This window comes from Homo sapiens, chromosome 11 (assembly GCF_000001405.40).
Source record: "Homo sapiens chromosome 11, GRCh38.p14 Primary Assembly".
Classification (NCBI taxonomy): domain Eukaryota; kingdom Metazoa; phylum Chordata; class Mammalia; order Primates; family Hominidae; genus Homo; species Homo sapiens.
Genome location: NC_000011.10, coordinates 28,036,849 through 28,053,125, shown reverse-complemented (window position 1 = coordinate 28,053,125; position 16,277 = coordinate 28,036,849). Strand labels below are relative to the sequence as shown.

Genomic DNA, 16,277 nt, shown 5'->3' with positions numbered 1-16,277 from the left:
ATGCCTATGCAGTCTTTTTTAATCTTGGACACTCTCTCCCACTTTTGTCTTTGCTAATTTTTAGGTTAGTGCAGAAGTAATTGTGGTTTTCATCATTGAAAGTAATGGCAATGCTTGTTGATACTTTGCCAATAGTCATAAATACTATCTTTTTTCCATATTCATTACTAATATAGTTGAGTGTGTTTTTTTTAATTGAAGAGTCTTTTTTCTGTGAATTGCCCAGCCATCCTTTGACATTTTTCTGATATAGTCATCTTTAGTAACAATCGTTACTTTTTTACAAGATCTTAAGTGTAGGTTTTTTTTCATTCATTCAACAGTGTTTAACTTACAGCAGTATTTCAGGCACTTGTCTGATGATAGGGATCAAAGTATGAAACAAACTCCACCACCCTCAAGGAGCTCACTTCTAGTAGAGAAAGACAATAATATAGTAAATAAATTAAACAGAATGCTAGGAGGTACTACATGCTATAAGAAAGAAATAAAGGGAGTTCAGGAGTGTGGCCAGGGAGGAGAGAGATTGCTATTTTCAGTAGCATGGTCAGGGAGGATCTCACTGATAAAACTTGAAGGACTTCACAGGACTAGCTATATGAATATCTGGGAGAAGAAACTTTTTTAGGTAGAGGGACACAATCACAGTGCAAAATCTCTAACATAGGAATTTGCCTGACATATTCAAAGGCTGGTGAGGATATATAACTGGTACAAAGAAAAAGAGAATGAAAGTAGTGAGGAGATCAGAGAGATAAAGGGAAGGAAGGCAGATCACATAGGGCCTTGTAGGTTACTATCAGGACTTAATTAGTCTTTTACTCTGAATAAAACAAGGAGCCATGACATGGTCTGAGCAGAAATGTAACATACCTCAATTGTGCTCTTAAAAGATCTCTCTGACTGCTGTGGTGAGAATAGATTATACTATGGCAAGGGCTGAAACATGAGGAGGCACTAGAATAACCCAGGCAAAAGATGGAGGTTATTCAGACCAGGATAATAGCATTGGAGCTGGTGAGAAGTGGTCAGATTCTAAAATGTTTTGAAGGTAGAGCCAGCAAGATTTCCAAGAAAATTAGATTTGGAATAGGAGAGAAAGAAATGCTTAAGACTGAATCTAAAATTTTGGAACTTAGCATCTAAAAGAATTGAGTCACCTTCAGAGAGATAAGGAAGACTTCAGATGGAGCAGGTATACAGGGTGGAGGTTGTAGAAAATTAGGAGTTCAGTTCTAGGCATGTTAAATTTGTCTAAGATACATCCAAGTGGAGACATCATGTAGGCAGTTAAGAATCTGAAGTTCAGGAGAGAAGTCTAAGCTAAAACATAAATTCGAGAGTTGTTAACATTTAGATGATATTTAAAGCCATAGGACAGGATGAAATCACTAAGGGATATTAACTTTTTCCTGTAATATACATAGTATAACTATACCCTTCAAGATTTGCCACTTATTCTTGCTTTTGTTTGAGGTTTCCTTTTTAATGCTGAAAGTTAAAACATTTATGTAGTAAAATAGCTTTTTTCTCTCTCTTACTGCCTTCGGGATCTTTCCTCAAAAGGCCTTTCCATTCATAAGCTTTTAAATTTTTGTTTCCACTTTCTCCTAATTTATGTTGGTGTTAAATGATAGGCAAGAATCTAAATTTATTTTTTCCAAGGAGACTAGCATTCTTATATAGATATATTGGCAATGCATCCTTAACAGCCACTGTGTTTTTTGTACAGTAAGTAGTCATATATAATTCTGTTTACTCAATTTCTACTCTATTGTTTCACCTGTTTGTCTGTCTTAGGGCCAGTAGCTATTATTTTAATATGTGATACTTTATAGTTTTTTTTATATAGTATGCTAGCCCTTCTTCATTATTCTTTGTCTGAAAAATATTCTTTGCTTTGTCTAGGAAATGAATATCAGAATAATTTCCAGTTTCAAGGAAATGAAATTTTTTTAATTCATAAATTGACTTCACATATTTCCAATATCAAATCTTCGTACTCTAGAATAGTTTGTCTCCCTGTATGCATATCTTTTTGTATGTTCCTCAGCAAAGTTTCAGAGTTTTCTTCGTAAGTGTTTTATAAATTTGACTGAATAGATCCCTAGATACAATATTTTGTATTTTTGTGACATAGACTACTTTTTACTTTTCTTAAATTAATAAGCCTAAATTCTTATTTTGGAAGAAACTAATTTTGTAAATTTTATGAATTTTAATTATTTTCTAATAAATAGACTTGATTTTTGAATAGATATTTATTTGACGTGAAATCTTTACCTTCAAACTACAAGTGTATTGACTAAGAGTAAAATATGTACCTATTTTGGGGTCTGGAAAATAGATAGCACACTCACTAAGTGTAGTGCAAGACGGGGGTGCTGACAGCAAAATTTATTTATGGAACTGATAAAATTTCTGACATTAAATGAAAAGTCAAGATTTCCTCATTATCCATCTGGAAACTCACATTTGGTAATACTTCTGTCTGTAACCTTTCCTTTTTTAAAATTTTGCACCCAATGTCAGTGATTTTATCTTAAAGTACAATAAAAGATACTAGGAGAACCAGTCTCTTAACATAGTACCAATATTCTGATTGAATATAGAGTTCACACATAAGTTTAAGTTTCCCCTAAAATTACTTGAATACAAGGAAATTTCATTTGAAAGATAGGAAATCTCTATACTAATTTCTCATATAACAAATATAAAGCAGGAAAATGTTAATAAACCAAATCTTCCATATTTTTTCCATTTGGCAACAAAATTTAATCATGAAACAATGGAAATCATGCTTGTATCCCTAAATACATTTTGTTTGACTTATCATCCCCATGTACATAAGACAGTATTTAGTTATTCATCTATAGCTGCAAATATTACTGTGAATTAAAAGGTTCTTTGTATTGTCCCTTCTTTTCCATCTTTGGTAAGTGTAAATACTGAGAAAATGAAACTGAGAGAGAAACATGATATCTGCTATTTCCCACAGAAAAAATATCAAAAGGTTATGGGTTGATTTATTATTCAAAGTGCTGGATTAATTTAAAGGACTATAATAGTTCCCTATGTATTAGGACAATAGTTCCCTATGTATTAGGGAACTATTATACATCCCTAACCATGAGAGTGTCTCATAAGTGTATTATAAAATGTTTATTAGTTTGGTTAATTTAGTGGTACCTTATCTTATATTTGGTTAATTTAATGGTACTTTATCTTATAAGATAAGTTTACGTATCTTATAAATAGTTAAAATTCATTTACCTGTATCATTTGCAACTATGAATTCCATGAGTCATAAGGCTGTTAAAAAGAATCCAGATTTATGATGAGTACACTAATTGTATCAATCATTTGTAGCCTAGAAGTTTTTATTGAAATGTATACATTAATATTTGATTTCACTTTAGAACTTTGCCAACTAATTTTGATTTAGCACAGTTTCCCAGAATTTCTCCTCACGTACATATTAACAGGAGTGCTTGCTTGCAAAGGAAGAATCCTTGCCATCGTTTTGTACCAAACCTCAATTAGATCTAATCCCATTCATCAATGTCTCCCTGTCATGAACCCTACTTTGCAGCCTATGACTCATGTTTGCTAAATACCGCATTCTTCCTTTACAATAACATACAGCTCTATAAATCTCTTAACGTTTACAGTCTTAAACTTTTGATAAATTACTTCCTCTGGGTAAAATCATTCAGAACACATGATATGGCACATCAAAAGATGACCCCAAAAGCCCTGCCCATTTTTAAGAGAGGGATTTTAAACCCATTAGTGATAAATTATCTAGTCTCTTTATTTTATGTAAAGGAACCATCTGTGAAATATTTCCAAAAGCTGAAAAATAAATATAAAGCCCCCTCTACTTAAGAAACCACATGAATTGCCATTTAGCAATTATGTTTTAGAGATTTATTTAAAACAAAGAGAGAAAAAGATGTTTCTTAATTTATTTTAAAATATTTTTAGAAAATTTGGCATAAGAAATGAATAATATAGTGACATCTAAACTAGTTTTAATTTCTCTTGTCTCTTTCCACTGCAGTCTACACTTCACACTGCCAACAAAGTGATCTTCCTAATAAAGTGTAGACCTCTCAGAAGAGTCTTCAAAGGCTTTCCAAGTCCAGTGTCAAGCTATAGGCATACTTTTGTCCAGCACCTTGTATCCCAACCTTCTGTTATCATGATTTCTGTTTCTGGCCTCTGCAATTTCCAAGCTTTTCCATCAATTTCAAATGCTTGTTTTCTCTACATCCATCCCACTTCTTGGCCTAAATCTTTCTCCACAATGAGAGTCCAATTCAGATACTTCCTTCTTTATTAAATCTTCCTTTTAATGGATCATCTTTCCTTTGCCTGCATATATTCATCTGTATTCCCATGGCTTTTAAGTTTTTTATTCCTTTCACTAGTGTTTTAACCTTGTTACTGTCTTAGCAATAAATATTTGTTTATTTTAATTTGGAAAAAAGTGAAGCCAAAAGAAACAAGATATACTTTATTAACTTATATTAGTATTTAGTTTTAATAGCCTACTGAACTTTTTTTCTAAGCATACATTTGTGGTTTGCTTTTTTAAAACAAGAACAGTGGAATCTATTATATATATATAGTTGATAACCAGCCTCTTTTTCACTGAACTACTTGCTGTAGACACATTTTGCTATCAACGAATATGAATTTAAGTCATTTTTAATAGCTGCATATTATATTTGCCTAATCTCCTGCTAATTAACATTTAGTTTGTTTTCACTTTATTATTACAAGCGACACCCCATTAAATGTCTGTGCATGTGTATTTATTTTGCAACTTGCCTAATTATTTCCTTAGGCTAAGCCCTTAGAAGAAGAATAGCTTAATCAAACAGTATGTATACTTTAAAGGCATTAGATATGCATTGTCAGATTCCCCACCCCCAGAACTATTATAAGTGTAGTCTACCATTGTAAGTGGGTAATGAAGGTGAAGGTGAACATTTTTTCATGTGCTTTTTGTCTAGTTATAGTTTGTTCTGAATTAACTGCCTCTTCCTTTGCCTTATTTTGCTCTTATCCATTTTGTTTTGTAAGAATTATTTCTCTCAGAGACAGACCAGCCAACCTATATACACATGTATACATAGACATACATACATACACATACACGAGCTCTAAATCCTTTGCCAAATGTGTTACATGTATTTTTTTCTCTCTTATTCATGGTTGGTTTTGATTTTTATGTAACCCAATTTTAAGTTATGAAGATATTCATATTTTATTTGCCTACTTTCTCTTTTCAGTAATAATAGGAAATAGCATTTCATTTTGGGAGCAATGAAGTAGTATGTTGCCTCCTATTCATATTTTTGAGTCTGTGAAGAAAGTTTTATTTTTTTAAGTCTCCATTATGTTTATTATATATGTTATTACTCTGTATTACTTGCATTACTTTTTACCTGACTTCTACCTGGAAAATAAGAAACATGACTCCAACTCTGGCAACAACAAATATAATTGCTATCATGACTTTGAGAATGTCATTTTCTTGCTGTGAGCAACAAATTATAAAATAATGAAGTTTAAATAAACACTAAAACCATCTAGTACTAAATTCTGGTTGTTTGTATAAGATGATCCCCATTGTAACTTTCCTGGTGGCCAGTAGTTAGGACCACTCTTTTAAAGTAGAGATTCAGTGAAAAATAGATATAGATTGCTAAACTATATAATTCCCATGACATAGAAATGTCATAGTTAAAGTACGTAAGGCCTTATCTTGCTTGAGCCTTTCAGTTTTTGCTATTAGGAAACATTTGTGTGTAAGTTTATTCCTTTTTTCTTGTAGCGATGGACTAAAACCAAGCATTTGGTTTCAAATTATTTGGATTTGACTTGTCATTGACAACTGTTTTAAGGACATTTCCAACATTTCTTAAAACTATCCTTAGGAAGATATAAAATTACTGGGGATTTTTCTGTTTTCTATTGGAATATATGCTGGATGATTATATATAACAAACTTACAATATTTACAATATTTCTTTCTCTTTTTTTTTTTTTTTTTTTTTTCTGAGACGAAGTGTTGCTCTTGTTGCCCAGGCTGGACTGCAATGGCATGACCTAGGCTCACTGCAACCTCTGCATCCCAGGTTCAAGCGATTCTCCTCCCTCAGCCTCCCAAATAGCTGGGATTACAGGCGCCCACCACCAGGCCCGGCTAATTTTTTTGTATTTTTAGTAGAGAAGGGGTTTCACCACATTTACCAGGCTGGTCTTAAACTCCTGACCTCCGGTGATCCACCTATCTCAGCCTCCCAAAGTGCTGGGATTACAGGCATGAGCCACCACAGCCAGACAGTATTTACAATATTTCTTTTTTTTTTTTTCATTTAATTTCAATATTTTTTTTCTTTTTTTTTTTCTTTTATTATTATACTTTAAGTTTTAGGGTACATGTGCACATTGTGCAGGTTAGTTACATATGTATACATGTGCCATGCTGGTGCGCTGCACCCACTAACTCGTCATCTAGCATTAGGTATATCTCCCAATGCTATCCCTCCCCCCTCCCCCTACCCCACAACAGTCCCCAGAGTGTGATGTTCCCCTTCCTGTGTCCATGTGATCTCATTGTTCAATTCCCACCTATGAGTGAGAATATGCGGTGTTTGGTTTTTTGTTCTTGCAATAGTTTACTGAGAATGATGATTTCCAATTTCATCCATGTCCCTACAAAGGACATGAACTCATCATTTTTTATGGCTGCATAGTCTTCCATGGTGTATATGTGCCACATTTTCTTAATCCAGTCTATCATTGTTGGACATTTGGGTTGGTTCCAAGTCTTTGCTATTGTGAATAGTGCCGCAATAAACATACGTGTGCATGTGTCTTTATAGCAGCATGATTTATAGTCCTTTGGGTATATATACCCAGTAATGGGATGGCTGGGTCAAATGGTACTTCTAGTTCTAGATCCCTGAGGAATCGCCACACTGACTTCCACAATGGTTGAACTAGTTGACAGTCCCACCAACAGTGTAAAAGTGTTCCTATTTCTCTACATCCTCTCCAGCACCTGTTGTTTCCTGACTTTTTAATGATTGCCATTCTAACTGGTGTGAGATGGTATCTCATTGTGGTTTTGATTTGCATTTCTCTGATGGCCAGTGATGATGAGCATTTTTTCATGTGTTTTTTGGCTGCATAAATGTCTTCTTTTGAGAAGTGTCTGTTCATGTCCTTCACCCACTTTTTGATGGGGTTGTTTTTTTCTTGTAAATTTGTTTGAGTTCATTGTAGATTCTGGATATTAGCCCTTTGTCAGATGAGTAGGTTGCAACCTACAATATTTCTAAACAGTATGCTATACTGCTGTTTCTTGATTCATTAGTGTTTAGATGTTATAACTTCTAATCATGAGAGATGAAGAATTAGCTCACTTACAACACCGCCACCTTATTTCTTCTCTGGTTTTGCTAATGTATTTTAGCAGGATCAGGTAAGAAGTGACATGTGTATGTTATATAATATATACATAAAGTATGCAATTTCACATTATATTTATACATATGTTAATATGTGTAACATTTAGAGCCTACTTAAGGAAATATTTTATAATTAAATAAAATATTATTTAAAACATTTATTAGAAGTAAGAATATACTGACATTTCTTAAAACTAATTTTAGGGAAACAGACATGAAGCATCTCTTTTTTTTTTTCCTTTTTTTCTGCTTTTTACTGGAAACGTTTCACAGTCCTCAGCCAAATCTGTGAGATAGACTTCCTGGAGAATTGAAATATTTGAAAGATGCAAATACTGAAGTAGATTGATTGTCCTTATAGGTAGACTTAAGTAGCTTAAAGAGCAATACCACCAATAAATACATTTGTAGATGTTTCTCTTGAGGTATAGGCAGTCAATTTATCAAACTTTTTTCAAGTCTTTTTTATGTACTTCATCAGATTATCCTATGTTTTATTGTCAAAATCAAAATGCCCAATTTATTGCTTTTATTACACTACCATTCATCAATTATATGTCTTAAAATCCTACACATTTGAGAGATAGTGAATGGCAGATGAATATCCAAACTTTGTTTACTTTTTTAACCACTTAACCACTCACCAAATATTTATTTATAATTTTTATAACCACTTAGCAAATGTAGTTTGTCATGCAAATTAATTATGTTTTCATTATGATTTCACTGTTTTTGTTTTTATTTTTAGCTGTGGTTTTATTAATAGCAAATTTAATACTCTATAATACTAATGTTAATATACTTCTGTTGTAATCCATGTTACATTGTTTTAGAACCTGGGTTATTGATGAAAATATTTGTATTTCTTCTCCATCTAATCCATGATTTCAGTGCATGCATTTACAGTTAATTTTAAAAGTGGTTTTAATACTTAAAAGTCTTTTGAGAGGCTTCTAAAACTTGGCAGTCTCAACAAAATGTTTTTGTCTAACTTCCTTTTTAAGTCTGTCTTTGGACTTACAGTAAACAAACTTTTTGAAGCGGGAATCTCTAGCCATAATGCAGGAACAGATGAATAGAACACTCGCCACTTTATCCTGAAACGCATACTTTCAGTTTTTTATAGGATGCCTTAAAGCATCATATAAATATTTTAAAAATGTTTGCTAAACTATTAATGAGTAACTATTACAAAACTAGGGTTGGACTTATTAAACAAAGCTCTGATTTATAGTTATCTCCAGAAAACTAGTCAATCTGGGGGAACCTACAGATGTCCATCTTTTTTATTTTTATGTTTCATTTACAAAGAACTTTTTGATTTTCCATTTAGGGGGTATATGGGCCTGGCTACCAGTATTACAGAGAAGTGGGAGAAAAATCAGCATATATTTATTATTAAGAAATTATTTAATGCACCTAGTGTCAGCTGTGCATGTTGGCCCCAGTCTACAGCCTATCCAGAGAGTAAAACTTCATGTCTTTTAATAGGGTAACAAAGGAGCAGTTACCTAGCAATGTAGGTGATGGTAATGGGGTAAGGGAGATCTGGGAATCCAACTTCCTTATACAGACTTCCAAGAATTCTCCTGTTTTAACTCCACCCTGTGCTTTCAGAGACAACCTCATGCCTTCAGTTCCTGAGATCTTCAGAGGTTTGAAAGAGCTGATTTTTTATTGGCTTCCTACCCACCACCCCAAACATTATTCCCCCTTTTTTTTTTTGGTCATTTATTATTTTACAGAGCAGGATTATATTTATTATATAAAATAATCAAATGTATAAAAAGGAAAATAAAATAATTCATTATTTTCCCAGTGAGCTATAAACCTGTGTTAACATTTTGATGAATTGGATTATATTTCCTTCTCTGTTTTCTATTACTTTTCCCCCCATTTTTGCTCAGGAGGTTTGTGCGCTTTGATTTGGTTTTTGTTTTTGTTTTTGTTTTTGTTTTGTCAAAATTGGGATCATACTGTATACTACCTCATTAATGAACATTTTTTTATATCATCAAATAATCTATAAAATATAGTTTTAAATATCAGTGTAATTGTGGATGTTCATGTTCATTTAGTTATTTAGTCATTGCCTAAGTGATTTAATTAACTTCTGTGGTAGGGGCTCAGCATTGTGTGGTGGTGAAGAACTTGGCATCTGGATTAGCAAAAGGTCTGAGTTTGTATGCCAGTTCTGTCATTTCTTTACATTTTCTTTTTATAGGTCCAGTGAGTTTTCTGTTTGCTTATTATAATTATGTTTTTTCCTGTAAAATTAAGGGGAAAAAATATATTCCTGTCCACTGATCCAACAGCCCAGGGAATGTAGGGAAGGAACCAGAGCCACAGGTAGTCTCAGCTAGAAATCTGCCCCTTTGCCCAAGAGTATCTCATCCATGTGTGATATAGCCAACAGTGATGGGAACAAGCCTGATAATATCGGGTACTTTTTAATATTTTTTTTCTGCACTGAAACAACTGAGCCAGGACTGAATTTTAGAGCCTCTTAGCGCTACTTTTAGTGTTCAGATGTTGCCATTTTACTATATTGCATAGCTGTGTCTCACTCATTCTCCCCAACTCCCACCTTACCCCATCATCCCTGGTTCTAATTTAAGGCCCTTTACTGATATCTGCCAGTGTCTTTTACTTAACTCCTTGGGATAGCACTGAAGGGTAAAGGATAGGGAGTACTATAAGTCATTCTCCTCCATGCCTTCCCTTAAGAGTCTGAGCTATACAATACTCTTTAGAAAGTCCTCTAATGTTCTGGCACTCAGATGATAATGTTTTCCCATTACCAACATTAGGTCAAGTTTACCCTTTTTTTAATGATGTGATCATTTTAAAGGGAATCTGAGTGGGCGCTAGATGCCTCTATTCAGGTTATCACTTTGGTTAAAATTGTCTTTTGCAGTTAACCTTCAAATGCCTCCTTGTACTATGGGTATTTCTCAAGTGTGCCAACCAAGTACTGTTTCTAGTGAGAAATTCTTCAAGCAGCCAGTGTCTTTCTAAATTCCTTCCCTATCAAAAAGAAAAGATTCTAATATGTATATTCTTTTATCAAAACTCATTCATTACAAGTTTGCATTTTGCATTTTCAAGCTTCCTTAAACATGGATCAAAATGCATTGGCTCCTTTTTAAAGAACTGAATGCTATACTAACAAAATATTATAAGAGGAGCAATTAGACCTTGTATCTGAAAACATAGTATGTCTATGCCTGGAACTGTCTATAAACCTGTTTTAATTGTTTGGGAGTGTCCAGAGATGAATATGCAGAGACAGTAGGGTGCCTAACCTAAAAAGAGATGCTGTTTTTAACATCATTCTACCAACTTAAATCTTACCCATTAATTGCCTTTGGTACAACTTCCTAGGAGGTGAACTTCATTTTCAATACTGTCTCTATCTGCTACTTTTGTTCTAGGACTGTTTCCTACTTATCCTTACTCCTTTTCTTTCCTTTCCCCTACCTCAGCATAATAATAACACTCATCGTCTCTGAATAAGAAATCACAGCCTCAAACCCCAAAGAGTTTCTACTGCCTCAAGTCTCTATGAGTGTCCAAACTAGAAAGGGAAAAATGCAGATTCCAGGACTCCTACAGTTACATGGATCAGAACTCCTGAATAGAGGACAGGATCCCAAGCTTGATGAGTGGGAGTAGAGGGAAGGGGATGTCAAAAAAAAAAGAATGCCAAAGTTGAGGGAATGACATGCATAAATGGTTCATGGTTTTATGGAGCATTGTCAATTTCTCTTAATTTACTTATGTAGAATTAATATATACTACTTTCTGTGAACTCTTTATTATAAGGCAGCTAATTACATATATAGATATTATAATACCCTTCTCACATCTCTCCATCACTGCTCCTACCACTCTTACCCAAGCTGTCATTTCTTGCTTAAGCTATAGCAATAGCCTTGTTACCGATTTTTCTGTTTTCTCTCTTGACCATTCTTGACACAGCAAGCAAATCACTCTTTTTCCTAAACATCAATCAGATCACATTATATCCATATTTGAAACCCTCCACAGATCTCCCTTTACACTTGGAATAAATAAAAACCCTTGTCTTGTCCATAAATCCTAACATAAGTTGCCCCTTTTGATCTCTCTAGCCTCTTATTCTGCCTGTCCCTCTAACTCACAGCACTTCAATCAAACTAGCCTCTTTTCCTCGAGCTCAACAAATTCATTGTTGCCGTTGGATCTCTGCACATGCTATTTTTTCTGCCTTTTCCCCCAGATCTTCATAGAACTGCCTCCTTAGCCATTCAAGTCTCAGATCACATATTCCATCCTTAGAATTGTTATTCTAGCCATCATAGTTAAAACATCCTATCTCCCATCACTGTCTATTCCATTTCTCTGTTTTATTGTCTTTACAATTAATTTATCATCCTAATTTATTTTATTTGTTTATTGTCATCTGCCTTCTCCCCTCAAAAATGTAAATTCTTAACTGTCTTGTTTACCACTGTACCTAGCATGGTATGGTAGGTACTTAATAAATATTGGGTGGGATGAACAGTGAATTCTTTTTATGCAGGTGTACTCCTTTTAGATTGTTGCTTTTGTACCATAGCTGACTACAACTTTTTTTCATAAATAAAACATATGTTGATCCTGGATTCAAAATAGTAGTAGTGATTTTTTTCTTTTAAATTTTTTGACATTATGCTTCCTGTTATTATTTGGGCATAAATTTCAAAAAGTCCTATTCACTTACATCCCATGGGTCATAATCATTCAAGGTAATAGAAATGGAGCACACTTACAATATGTTGAGGAGTTAAAGTCTCAAGAGATGTTGTGGAAATAGCAAAATTACTCAGAAACCATAACATACATTGCTACCCACTACCTCTTATATTTAAGTATATGATACACTGGACTAGTTCCTTAGATAGACCCTAGAGATATGTCTTCCCAAGTGACTGCCAGTCTTCCCTATTCCAGTTTGCAAGAGCGTGCCTTATAACAATGCATTTTTAATTTCCTGTTCCCTTCTGTGTAGCACCCACGTTGCTAGGGTATTTTATGGGCTATCATCATCTATATGGTCTCTTGTTCTGCAAGGCACAGCCTGCAACTTTGTGATTCATTTTCTCATTTTATGGGGCCTTTCTGAAGGAATTATAATCTGCCTCCAAGTTCCTTCTTATCACTTCTACTCTATAAGCACAAGAATTATGGAATATTGTTAGATAGTGTTTTCCCAAGCTGAATCAGGGGAAACTACAACTGTCCCATGCCTGCTCTTCTGGAAATTTACTGTACACCCTTTTCCTCTAATGGAAAAGTACAGCAGATCTCTTTTATAGACATAGACCTAACATATCCAACAGTTCTTATAGCCTATTGAACTTTCTGATCCCCCAACTCAACACTCTCCACTTGCCATACCCACATAAAGTTCTTTATTACCTAACTTAGCTAAAGGATAATAATTATTTGTTATGTAATTGTATTTATATATTATAAAAATTGTATTCAGAGTAAAATTTAGTTGTTTATGCTTTTAGTTTTCATTAAGTTGGGTCATTTTCCTTTTATGTTTATAGTTACAGAAGATTGACTTAAATTTTTATTTAAACCTTTAAATTTTGTTTTTGCTCTGGTTAGCTCCTGAAGCTTTCTAAGCAACTAATCAGCCTAAGTAGTTCTGAATTGACCATCTGCCTTCTGCCCTTTTATTTTATCTGAACTTAATAATTGAGAGAATGAAAAGAACTCTTTAGATTTATATCATATACATGTTGTGTGTCTGTAGCATCTCTTCTTCTAGGCCCAGTAAAACAATTGTATGTAAATCCACATTAACTACCACATCTCCATGCTATTCCTTCAGCTTATACTCTGCCAGGAGAGCAGGATTATAGCTAAAGATATATCACTGTAACACCACTATTCCTTTTACTGACAAATTGTTAGTCAGTCTGATCATACTAAATTTGATGTCGGGTGTATGCTTAGATTATCCCAGAGGACACGTGGATATTTCTTCAGTGTTCTACCAGAAGACTGTGATTTTTATCACTCTTTACTAGCAGTAGGGAAAATGTGGTCCACCATGATGGGAATTTGCCCAGTTGCCACTCCCAGAGATTATACCTGCTAAGTATGTATTTTAAAAAATAATGACTCTATAATTCTTGTCCCTTGAGATTTCATGTTCCATTGTATTTTAAAGTTTAAAATGTTATTATAAGGTCTGCATTTGCAAAGAACATATATACCTGTTTCAATAATACCTGTGGTTTATATTAATCATCAGCCTTGATAAACTGGATATCTGATAAACTGAAAGTGAAGCACTGTTTGAAATATATTGTTTTAGAGATAACAGTAAGTTTTTGATGATTGGAAAGTAAATTACAACTCTCCTTGTAAAAGTTGTAATATTAACAGTTGAAACATATTTGCATTTCTAGAGCCTTTCTTTGAACCCTTATCATATAATCCTATTCATATATAAAAAGGTAATATCCGCTTTTTTCTAGGGGATATTAATGCCCACACTGCTTAAGTGAGTTGCCCAAGGTCACTTGGTGAGCTGTTGGTGGAGCCAGAAATAGAATCCAAGTCTCCTGACTCCCAATTCAGTCCTCTACCCTCCATGTAGTTTTCTATCCCCTATACCCCTGCTGCCTCTCATGGGAAAAGAAGTTAATCTGCCAGCTATTAATAGCCACCAAATTGGTGGTAGCAGCACAGTGGAGAAAAGTAACTGTCTTTACTCTGCAGCATTAGTATAAAAATATCTGGTAATGGAAAATTTGACAAATGTCATGTTAAAGGGAGTGGAAAATTATTTTAAGATCTGGATCTCATTTATCTAGTTCTCAGAAAAGTAAAATTCCTCAGTAGAACAGGGATCATATTTTTCTTCTGTTTTTGAATTTTATTTCCTAGAGGGTAATTGTCAACCTAGCCAAAGCAGAGCATATTGTCAACTAATATAATAAGAATAGTGCTTGTACTGTTGCTGATTGTTTAAGTGTATTTTCTAACTTGGTTGAAAGTTTGAATTGCTTTATTGAAATGCATAACACTTATCTTATTCTGCTTTCAATGTTCTTTAAGTTAGTATTATACAGTAAAGTAAATATCAACTGGGAATTTTACTTCATGATTAGACAACGTGAATGGAAATACACGTAATAGTTTCTTCCATTGACCGTACACTCCAAGCAAAGGTATTTCATGTCAGACACCATGAAGTTCACCAGAATGAAGTAGGTAGAGTAGAAAAAAGTTAATTGAAAAATATAAGATAATCACACTGAAGTTGATCAAGTGTATTGTTACATATGTCATTATTTGGGGCATTAATAAAAGGTGTTTACCAGATGTTTGTGTTTTTAAATGTTAAACATTAAATACTAAATCTAGTATTGTGGTAATAAATTCTAATGAAACAATTTGTTTCTTAATTTTGGACCAAGGACCAAGAATTACCCAACTAAAAATATCAGCATATTTTGTTTCTATTTAAAGATTACTAAAAAGTCTTTAATCAGAAGGATGACATGAACAGAATTATGTTTTAACTATAAGCATAAAAAAGACAGAATTGGTATACATTGGAAAATGCAAGGGAAAAGGTAGAAAAAAAAATCTAGTAATTTGGAACCCAGGTGACAGAGAAGGTAATGGTAAGAGGATAATTAGAAATATGAGAAACTGTGTAGAACAAGGCAACTAGAGGGTCAAGTACAGCTCCTTAGGGAAATGTGTACATTTACTAGATGGAAGAAGAGAATAACACAGATGTTAGAATAGTACAGATATAATTTTGAAAAGCTACAGGAATTATCAGATAAGGCTGAGAAAGATCATCAGACTTAGTGACCTCTTGACATTTGGGAGACTGACTTCTCCAGAGTGATGAGGGTGAAAGTACTCTGAACTCTCTGAATTATTTCATTTATCTTTAGTATTAAATCTTGTTTTTACAAACCTATGAGTTATGTATGATACAGGAGACAAATCAGTTAACTAGAATGCTTAATTGACTACAGTTTTCTCTCAATATCCTGGGGACAGGCAAGTTGATTCCAGGAACCCTCCCAGATACCAAAATCCATGGATACTCAAGTCCCTTACATAAAATGGCATAGTATATAGCCTACATGTATCCTTCTGTGTACTTTAAATCATCTCTAGATTACTTATAATACCTAATACAATACAAATGCCATTAAGTGGTTGTTATATTGTATATTTTTTTAATTGTTTTGGTTTATTTGTTTGTTTGTTTTGTGAATATTTTCAGTCTCTGGTTGGTTGAATCCACAGATGCAGAATCTGCAGCTACTGAGGGTCAACTCTGTATACCTGACACTGTAACAGAAACAATGCTTTCATTCACCCAGAATTTTACTGGTTATTGCCATTCTTGTTCATTTAGACTAGACTTCCACTCAATTAGTAATAAACTGGTCACTGACACCCAAACCCTAGCATCACCCAGTATACTCATATAACAAACCTGTACGTGTACCCGCAAATCTAAAAAACAAGGCAAAACAAAAGTAATAAACTGGTAATATTTTACAATGGAACAAGTGTTAACCTCTGTGCCTATAAAAGTTTAATACTGTTTTCATCTTAAACCCAAATCAAACATGAAAGCTAGAAATTGTGAATTTTATTGGAATTGATTGATAATTTGTTTCCTAATTACCCAATATCTCAAGAAAGCTATACCTATAAATTAATATTGATATTAGCAATATATTCTTTTGTTATAGAATTTCTTTATAATGAGTT

At 33.6% G+C, this 16,277-nt stretch overlaps 1 protein-coding gene across 3 annotated transcripts in view; it reads left to right on the top strand.

Annotated features, from left to right (window-relative positions):
* Nucleotides 1-16,277, top strand: part of KIF18A (kinesin family member 18A) — an 87,538-nt gene that overhangs the window by 55,031 nt on the left and 16,230 nt on the right. The window lies entirely within an intron of this gene.